The 11,260-nt window shown below is 34.3% G+C and overlaps 1 long non-coding RNA gene across 1 annotated transcript in view; it reads right to left on the reverse strand.

Annotated features, from left to right (window-relative positions):
* The window catches only part of LOC107984371 (uncharacterized), a 63,332-nt gene extending 52,333 nt beyond the window's left edge, over nucleotides 1–10,999 (reverse strand). The window contains exon 1 of the long non-coding RNA XR_001748074.1: nucleotides 10,825–10,999. This is a non-coding gene — a long non-coding RNA (uncharacterized LOC107984371). The remainder of the gene's footprint in view (nucleotides 1–10,824) is intronic.
* Nucleotides 11,000–11,260: the final 261 nt, after the last annotated feature.

The raw sequence follows: 11,260 nt of genomic DNA on the forward strand, positions 1-11,260 counted from the left end.
GTATGCAAAAGCAAGGAAAACCGCCATATAAAACCATCTGATCTTATGAGAACTCACTCACTATCACGAGAACAGCATGGGGGAAACCACCCCCATGATCCAATCACCTCCCTCCCGGTGTCTCCCTCAACATGTGGGGATTGTTGGGCTTACAATTAGAGATGAGATTGGGGTGGGGACACAGAGCCAAACCATATTACCTTCGTTGCTCTGATCTATCCTACAAAAAAATATTGATTTTGTGCCGCATCACCATGATCCAGTCATTTTCTTGCTCATAAGTCCTTTCTAGATGACCTTTGTTTATTGCATTGGTTCACAAACTACTGTTCTGGACCAGCAGCATTGGCATCACCTGAGAACAGCATTGGCATCACCTGTTAGAAATTAAAATTCTCAGGCCCCACTTCTTTTTTACTGAATAAGAAACTCATGAGTGCGGACCAGAAATATGTGTTTCAACAAGCCGTTGAGGTGACTCTGATGCTGGAAACTCCTAGACCATTGAATAATCGAAATCCCTAAAAATGCTATTTTTATGGATTGATATCGTGTCTCCAAGACACGATATCAACCCACATGCCAGCTTTATTTTATAAACCCAATTGCACATTTTCTAAGTCTCAGTAAAACCACAAATCTTACTACTTTTAAAATATGCATTATAATATCTCATGTCACATATTTTTCTTACACTGTTCCCTCTTTAAAAGATTTCCTTATCACACCTCTCTTCCAACCACCGGTAACAATAACTCTGCTGCAATCCTCTTTATTTTTCAAAGCCCTGTCTGAAAAAGTACCCTGCTTTTTAAACATTTCCCAATTTCCTATCAAAAAATAGGATACTTTCCTCTTTTGAGTCTTCAGAATAACTTCATTTCATCACTTTAATGCCTGCATCACAACATAATTTCTAACATATTTTAATTGTGAATGTGATGACTGATGACTGGCAACCTCTTTCACCATTTGGCTAGAAGGCTTTGGCAGGTAAGGACTAGATCCTATTCACTTTGATTCTACTGCAGTTTCTTTTCTTTTTTTTTTTTTTTTTTTTTTTTTTTGAGACAGAGTCTCGCTTTGTCGCCCAGGCCGGACTGCGGACTGCAGTGGCGCAATCTCGGCTCACTGCAAGCTCCGCTTCCCGGGTTCACGCTACTGTAGTTTCTTGTACATAGTGGTATTCAGCATGGGTAGATTAGTTAAAAGAAGCAAATACCTTTTTTTCTATAAAGAACAATGCCCTTTAAGCCTCTTTTTGCCGACTTTAAATCAAGTGCTTCCCTAGAAACCCTCTAGTTTCCAGCTGAGTAACATTATCTAGCGATGGTACTATGGAATTAACTCTTGACTTTAACTTGGATAGACTTTCATTCAAGTCCCAGACTCACAGCCCCACCCTGGTGACTTCAGGCAAGTCCCTTATCTCTTTGCACTTCATATGTATGATGGGGCTACTATTACTTGCCTTATAGGATTGTATGAGGGCTATACTCCATGCAATGCACACATATCTTATAAACAAAAACTACTAGCATAAAATGTGTACATAAGCCACAATAACTTAACAATTATCTAAATCTACATAGCTTATATATTATCAAGACAAAATTGAAAATTAAATATTATTTTTGTACTTTATTTCCATCTTCTGTGTAGAAAAAAAAAATACCTTAGGTTAAAGAAAATTGAAAGGACAGGCTTCCTAATATGCCCCCGTTCTGATCTAGAGGCTAGTTCTTCCCTCCTGGGTTCTCACCTAGAAGCTAGCCTATTTGTCCAGTGCCACATACTCACCTTGCTCTTACGCTAAACTAATCAATTTTTTCTCTTCACTGAATTGCTCTATGATTTCCATGGTTACCTGCCATGTTTTGATGAAGTAGTCCTTCAAAATATTGGAACAGATAAAATAGAATTTGGAACACATTAATGAATAGACTGCTTCAGTAACTTACATGACAATCAACATCAATTTTTAGTTAACTTAAATAAACCCTCAAGGGGAAATACATTATTTCTCTGTATGTGTGTGCATGTGCATGTTTATATAAAAAGCCTTAGGAGAATCTACTCTGTCAAAGCCTGTGACAGTCCTAACTTTAATGTCCTATAGAGCTTCTTACTATATTATACTATGGCCTCTGCAAGTCATCAGTTGAAATTAATTAGTGAGGATTCTCTCCCAATTACATCATGGTGATTGTATTGCATTCTGTTTTTCCTAATACATTCAGACATTTCTGGGATGTTGATTAGTTCTGCCTTCCATCACTTTTCTTACAGCATTTGTGTCAACAAAATTATGAAGTATAGGTTTGGAAGTTACTTAATTTTCTTTTAGCACTTTAATTCACAGCTGGTTGTGGCTGTATGCAGTAACCATAATTTTACATATTTGATCCATCAGATACATATTGTAGTTCACTACTATGCAAGTGAAAAGTAAAGTTCTGTTCTTGAAACTTGGCCTCTCTTGTATGGCAAATCTAAGAATAGGAGGATTATAGAAGCCTAAAGGATTTTAAGTTGTGTGTATGTGTGTGTGTGTGTGTGTGTGTGTGTGTGCTGTACACACACACATATTTTTGTATTACCACTGGAGTTACTTCAATTTTGTGACACTGAAGACTGAAACAGAAATGTCAGCTTATGCTCTGGGACAGGTAGCTATGGTGGCATAAGAAAATCACCCTACAATTTGGAGACTTTAAATAACAACTATTTATTATTATTATTAATATGTCTGCAGGTTTGGGTGAATTGGTTGATATAGGCTGGCTTCACCTGAATGGCTCTGCCTCTAGCTATGGATCTGGATGAACTTGGCTTCTTGCTGAGGTTTCAGTTCAGGTATGCTTCATGTCTGGCCATGTGGGCCCAGAATGAGGAGGGGCAAATCTTCAGATTTTTCAAGCACTTTTCAAGATGAAAAGCAAATGGAAAGCAGGAACATGAGGTTTCTTAAGATCTGGGCTCAAAGGTGTAACACTGTTACTTTTACCTTATTGTATTAGCTCAAGCAAGGTACATGGGGAAACCCAAAGTCAAGGAATAGGGAGATTCATTCTCTGCTCCTTCAGTGCGAGAAACTACAAAGACTCATGGCAAAGAGCATGGATAAAGGGAGGGTTGAGGAGCTGGGACCAGCAATGAAATCTATCACCTGTTCTCATATGTTGATTTGATAATGATAAATAGTGAATTTGTCTAAACATATTATGTCTTGCTCCTAAATATGGTTGTCTTTTTGTTTCATATAACCAATAGCCTCTGAAAATAGATCTTAAAAGTTTTTTTAGTTAAAAAATGGCTACAATCTTGTATTGGTGAAATGAAGATAAATCTTATGGCACATTTATCCCTGTTCACTATTTGATGGCAGATATCATACCTTATGTTTTTTTCTAGAAGTTTGGCCCTAATGGTGAGAGATTAGAATTCAAATCTATGAATAGGTATAGTCTTATTTTAATGTATTACATAACAACAGAGATGTGTGATTTCAAGTATTAGTCCTACAACCTACCAGGTATGTGACCTTGACTGTTTAAACTCTCTGGTTTCAGAGGATTCATTTGTAAAATAAGTATTACGATACACACTTGGAAAGTTACTACAAGGATTAATGAGATAATTTGATAAAGCAGCTGGCACAATACCTGGCATGTGGTAGTATTCAATAAAGATAAATGTTCTTAGATTGAAGCAAATGTTACCTATCATGAGAAACTATGAAAACTCTATACTAATATGAATGTAGCAGGTGCACATTCTGAAGCCATGTACTGAAGTATATAATAAAATTTCCTTCCATTCTCAATAACTTACTTTGTTAAGTCATTTATTCTACAAATGCATTTTGAGTGACTTCTATGTGCCAGATGCTATGTTCCAGGCATTGGTCATACAACAAAGAATAAAACAGACAAAAATATGGCCCTCAAAGCAGAGGAAACAGGTAGTAAACAATAAATAATTGTAAGCATATAACAATAAATAATAATAAAATAATACATATCTAACACACACACATAATATATAGTTTCCCCCCCACATGCCCCAAGAAATCAGTACATGATTTGTGTGACTACCTGCCATTTGATAAAATAGCCCTTCCAAATATTTGAACAGATAAAATAGAACTTGACACATGTTAGTGAATAGACTGCTTTGATGCCTACATGACAAATTTTAATTAACTTGAACCTTCAATGGAAATTATATATATATATATATATATATATATATATATATATATATATATATATATATATATTCTTGCTGATGTTTGGATCAGGTTTGCTTTATGTCTTAGTATATATATATATATATATATGAGAAAAAATGAAATAGAAAAGAAATATATAAAATTGTTGTGACTTACATGTAATTAGATAAATTGACTAGAGGAAAATTAACTTCTTGTTTCCTACCAAAGGATTGGATTAAGGGTTCCCAATGTGATGTTCATGGATCTCTCAGAGGATACATCAGTGGTTTTCAATAGCTCTAGGAAGCCTCTAAAATTGAATGCAAGATTTTGAATGCTTGTCTCCTCCCCAGCCCTGGGGAGAGATTACATAGCTTTCATGAGATATTCAAAAGGTTTCTTAAGAAGGATTCATTTAGGCAAAAGTAATAGAAGGGAATCACTTTCAGGGGGTAGGTTATGAGGTTAATTCTTAGTTTAGTGTTCTATGTCTGATCATATAATAGGCAACCTACCCTGTTCCCCAATCATTCCCCTGCAGGAGGGTTTACATAAAAAATCATAGAGGCTTTCAACTCACCTGTAATAAGGGCTTACAATTGCAGGGTTCTTCCTGCACAGGAGACCTTACCTCTACCCTCAAGGAAAGATTGGCACTCAAAAATAATTGGAATTCAATTTTATCAGTGCCAAAGTTATAAACAAGGAGTTACAGACCTTTTGTTTATTCAACTTACAAATGCTGATCCTAATTTTTTCACAAGTTCTTAGGTAATACAATATATGTAAGTATTGTTTATGCTTTCTACAATAAGAGTGTCCAAATAAGTCTTGGACTAAATTCATAACAGCTCACATTTATATTGAACCGTATTATTTACAATTTCTTTAGATATATTGCCTTAAGTGGAAACCATGACAAGAAAATCCAAAAAGTTCCACAAGATGCATGTCAAAATCATGAATTTAAGAGATAGGAAATACCTCCGAGATTATGTAGTCAAATCTGAATATTTTTTAAAAAGTAGCTTTGTTACACTTTACCTGTACTTTCAGCATTTAGATGTCCTTTGTATAGTAGTTTAAAATGGTTAAAAGCCCGATGAATTCTGCTGCTAGACTGATGTGATCAAAGCAGTTTTCATATCCATTTACCACATTCTCTAGCGTGAAAAGTACTGTATTATTATTTAGGATAGTTTCTCTTTTCATAAGCTCTTCTTCTCAAATGACTATTAATATCTCCAGGTTATTCTTATCCTGAAATCTCAGACATCTGAGACACTGATTTCTTTTCTTTGATAATTTTCTGAGTATTTTCTTTTATCCAGATTGGTCTGTTTTTATTCCTGCTACAATCATTATGAAGGGAGTCTTTAAACATATAATAATTTTTTTGACTAGCCTGTGCCATCACCCATTCTAGTACCTCATCCTACTTAATTACACTTAGAAAATCTGACAGCCTTTCAAGTTTAATATTTTTATCAAAATTCAGGGCTTTATCCATCCCAGGCTTTCTTAGTTTTATTGGAAAAGGGATGGGAGAGAAAAAGCAATGGGTGAGATAACTGTGCCTTCTTTTAAGAGACCCAGTCTCTCAAGTATTGCTCATTTTAGAGCCTATTGAATTTACAGGTGCAGCAAGCAAAATTAGGAGCGAATATTTGAAACCTAGGAAAATCTCAGAAAAAAAATCAAGGAAAAAAGAGTGGAGATCCTTCTACATGCTTTTACCAGGCTAATATGTTTTATGTCCATTTTTCTTTCATTTCAAGGGCAGCATTTAGTTTTCTAGACTGATATGATATCTCACCTTGAATTGTAGTTTCCATAATCCCCACGTGTCGTGGGAGGAACCTGTTGGTAGGTAGTTTAATCATGGGGGCGGTTTCCCCCATGTTGTTCTAGTGATAGTAAGTGAATCTGATGGTCTTATACGAAGATTTTCCCCCTCTGCTGGACACTTCCCTCTCATGCCACCCTGTGAACAAGGACATGTTTGCTTCACCTTTTGCCATGATTGTAAGTTTCCTGAGGCCTTCCCAGCCATACAGAACTGAGTCAATTAAACCTCTTTCCTTTATAAATTACCCAGTCTCAGACAGTTCTTCTTAGCAGCATGAGAATGGACTAATACAGAAATAACTCTATTTATCTTTGAGTTTAATATTTATTTGCAATACTCAGAAGGATGCTCTTATGCAAAGGTTGACAGCCCAATAACTAATGCATCTAATCCAGCAATAATATCAGGTGATTTTAGAGTAATAATTATAATACTGACAACAATGATAATAGCGATGCTATATGCCAAGCACTAGGCTAAGCTTGTTATAATAATTATCTATCTAATCTTTACTAAAACATGAGATAGATACTGTTAAGAATGCTGTCATGCATAAGCCTCTGGAATTTTAGTTTTTCTGATGTAATCAAATTTAATCACAACTGATACGTTTTACATGAAGCCACCTAGAACTGAAAATACCAACACACGAATTTGTCATGGATACATTGTAATATACATCCTAAATAGTGTCTATTAGCTTGTTACTATCACTGTAAAATGTTCGATATTCACTTGTTAAATTTTCAAATTTTAAAATATGAAAAATATTATATTGTGAGAAAATAATGTTAAATTCTCAATTTTAAAATATGAAAAATAATATATTGTGAGAAAAACTTCAGGTTGGATATACAAAGCATATTAACATGATCATCCCTGATGTAATGGGATAGAAAGGAGTTTCGTTCTCATTTGTATCTTTTTTCCCTCATTTTTTATTATAAACATGGATTAATGGTGTAAATTTATGTATTTACATATTCACTTATTTATTTTTAAGGAAAATACTTCTAAGTAAGCCGAACCTAGGATATGACCTAGAATATGAAGAATCAGTCCCATGCAGTGGTTATGAGTATGACTTCTGAGGCCATGCTACCTAAATTTGAATCCCAGCTTTGCTTTTTGACTTGGTTCATTTTACTTCATCTTTCTGTGTCTCAGTTGCTTATTCACTGAGGTTAGTGAAACTATTAATACCTATCTTAGGATTCTTATGAGCTAAAATTAGATAAATTAAGCATGGAAAGTGTGTGGTACATACAGATTGCACTATAAAATCAACTGTCATTATAACCTATAGACAGTGGGTTCCAGTGCAAAGAAAGCTCAAAATTTCCTTCTTACCTCTTGTCTCTTTCCCATCTACTTCAAAGTAGCATCTCTGTAAGACTGTCAAAACATGTCAGATATTCGGCATTAAAGCTGCATTATATTGATATTAGATACTGAATTGCTAAGAAGTGCAGCCTTGCAAGTATTGCTAAGAAGAAAACATGTTAAATCACCCATGGTTTTATACAGTGAAAATCAACCCAGCCTTACAAACAGAAGTTACGGAATTCAGTTTCAAAGCTGCCCTTGTTTAGCTGGGAAATGGAAAGCAAGTCATGTTATCTCAAGACATTTCAGTACCCTTATCACTCAGGAAAGTAATTCCTGGGTCAAAGGGTTATATTTGCATCATTTTTGTAGGTATTTACAAAGCAAAATCTTAGATCCCAAGATAGGAATATATTTCTTTAAAAAATATAAAAATCACAAATCATAATAGTAAAGACTGCTACATTTGATCATTTGAATAAAAAATATTGTGTTTTACAAATGACACCAGAAGTGAAATAAAACATCAAGCTACAGATATGGTAAACTGCATAGCCAACCAAAGATTGAATACAACATAAGTGAAGAGTTTTTCACATAAATAATAAATAGATGAATATCACAGTTTTTAAAAAATGGGCAAAGCTTGTGAATAAGCATTCTGTAAAGAACCCAATTTGTCATTTTAACACAGGTATTATTAGTAATTTCACAAATATTCAAGTTTGAACATTAATAGAAAATAATACCATTTCCAGTTAGTTTTTTAATTAATAAAACTGATGTCACCAAATTTTAGTGAGGAACTGGGAAAAGGGTTGCTCAGTCACTGCTGATGGTAGTTGCTACACGTTGTAGAGCAAATTTACAACATGTGAAGCAGAAAATACCCACAAACCATCGACCTAATTGTTGTGCTTCAATGAAAATTGAGCATGAAAAGATACACACAAGGATGCTCACTCTATCTCTCTGTAACAAATAAAAAATTATCTCTTTCTCAAAAGAATTAATATATACCATATGTTTGATTTATAGAATGGAATATTATAAATGAATTAAAACATGAACTATACTACCAATGATGCTAGCCTGGGTAAATTCATAATATTGAGTGGGGAAAAAACAAATTTCAAATAAATAAGTAAAATATTGCTTTGCATGTAAAAATTTGTTATAAAATATTATTTTCTATATATAAAGACATGTTAATATAATGAAAGTATAAAAACAAGCCTAAGAATGATAGACATCAACTTCATGATTGTAGTCACTTCTATACATAGCTAGATTGAATTATGCCTGGTTTGCTGAGAGGTATCTTTTTTGTTGTTGTTTTATTCATATAACCATAAATTTTTCAAGTGCTTTTTTGGTCACTTGTAAGGATAATAATGTAGTATTTTTTTCCCTTCAGTTACAAATGAAATTAATTGCTCTAACACGAATTTCCCAAAGTTAAATAGTCCTCATATTTCTGTGTTAAGATCAAGTTGGTACTGAAGGGTATTTGTGTGTGTTTGAGCGGTTGAACTATTAACTTTCTTCTGTTACAGGCTGTTGGCTTAGATTTTCTAAAATTTTAAGAGAGATTTCTGCATTAACATTAATAAATGAGATGACTTGTGCTTTTTCTTTTTTTTCAATTACCTTTATCTAGGTATGGTAGCACATTGATGAAAGGTTCCTTCTTTTACTTTTCTATTCTGTGAAATACTTTATATCAAATAAAGGGTCATATTCTTTGAAATTTTGATAGCATTGACCTATGAAACTCTTTGGTTAAAAATAAAATGGATAGACAAAATACAGTATATTCATATCAAATCATACTCAGAATAAAAAGGAACAAATGGTGGATACATGTAACAATGGATGAATCTCAAATATATTGATGGTGAGAGGAAGAAATCTTGTACAACAAAGTACATAAAGTGTGATTCTATTTATATTAAATATTCTATGGTGGGAAAAAATCAAGAAGGTTGTTACCACTGGGGAAGCGGAGATGGGTATTTATTGGGAAGAGTCATAAACAAACTTCCTGACCTGATGGTACAGTTAATATTCTATATCCTGTTGGGAGCTGGGTTTCACAGTTGTATTCATTTGTCAAAACTCAGTTTAAAAATGATGCATTTTATTGTGTGTACATTTTACATCAAAATTTAAAAAGTCAAAAATTGAATTCTGATTAATATTTATTCTGACATATTTAGGATGAAGTATACTGATGTCTGGAATTTACTTTGACATGCATCAAAAAACAAAAGGTGTTTGTACCCAAAGGTAGAAGAATGAATAGATGGATGGTCTATTAGTCTGTTTTCAAACTGCTCTAAAGAACTGTCTGAGACTGAGTAATTTATACAGGAAAGGGGTTTAATTGAATCATAGCTCAGCATGGCTGGGGAGACCTTGGGTAACTTACAGTCATGGTGGAAGGCGAAGAGGAAGCAAGGCACTTTCTTTACAAGGCGGCAGGAAGGAGAAGTACTGAACAAAGGGGAGGAGCCCCTTATAAAACTATCAGATATCAGGAGAACTCACTCACTATTACGAGAACAGCATGGGGGAAACCACCCCCATAATTCAATTACCTTGACTTGGTCTCTCCCTTGACCCATGGGGGTTATGAGGAGTATGAGAATTACAATTCAAGATGAGATTTGGGTGGGGACACAAAGCCTAACCATATCAGATAGATATGTGAAAAAAGCAAGTACTGTAAATGTTAATGGAGGAATATAGGTGACAGGACTATAAGTGTATCCTCTAAGATTTTGGTGTGCCATTTCTATCTTGAAAGTTTCAAAACTTTCACAATAAAATGGGGCAAAAATCTTTCTATTTTGAAAGTATTAAAACTTTTACAATAAAATGGGGGCAAAAAAAATCTTGGCATTTTTAAACTCCCCACAGTAGTAGAGCTTCAATATTGATTTGACACTCTGGTATTAGCTGTCTTTTTCTGTGTGCATCCCTGAAAACTTCCATTTCTTTGTTTCAAAGACAGCTACATGTTTTAAAAGACCTTTGAATTTCTTTTTACAAGAAGCGTGAACGAATTCTGCAGTCTGAGGAATTTTCAGATAATGTAGCCTCTCATATTTCTGAAAAGAAACAATATTAAAGATTTAATTTTAATTTTTTTTTTACATTTTACTTTAAATTCTGGGTACATGTGCAGAATGTACAGGTTTGTCACATAGGTATACATGTGCCATGGTGGTTTGCTGCACCTGTCAATACGTCACCTAGGTTTTAAGCCTCACATACATTAACTATTTGTCCTGATGGTCTCCCTTCCCCCACCAAAGTGGTCTTAAATGTACACATTGTGTAACCTCGATTTGGTGTATTCATTATATGCTACCCTATTGTTGGAAGTTAACAAGGCTATAGCCCCCTTTCAAAAAAAGTATTAACTTACCTTTGTAGGTCCTCTCCACTAATAAATTTTCTTGCAGGCTGGATTTCCAGTGTGTGTCTTTACTATTTACTGTTTCCAGACACTGAAAGGATATCTTTGATGCTAATGTTAATATAGTAATCTTCCCTTAACCGTGGCTTTGCTTTCTGCAGCTGTAGTTACTTGCAGTCAACTGTGGTCTGAATATATTGAATGGAAAATTCAGAAATAAACAATTCATACGTTTTAAATTGTGAAACATTCCAAACAGCATGATAAAATCTTACACTGTCCCACTCTGTCCCATCCAAGACATGAATCATCCCTGTGTCCAAGGTATCTATATTGTATACACTACCTGCCTGGTAATCAGTAAGTAACTCTTATTTTACATAATGCAGTTGGCCCTGGCCCTATGTTTCTGCAGGTTCCACCTCTGTGCATTCAACCAATTACA

The sequence above is a fragment of the Homo sapiens genome, chromosome 11, assembly GCF_000001405.40.
Source record: "Homo sapiens chromosome 11, GRCh38.p14 Primary Assembly".
Taxonomy (NCBI): Eukaryota; Metazoa; Chordata; class Mammalia; order Primates; family Hominidae; genus Homo; species Homo sapiens.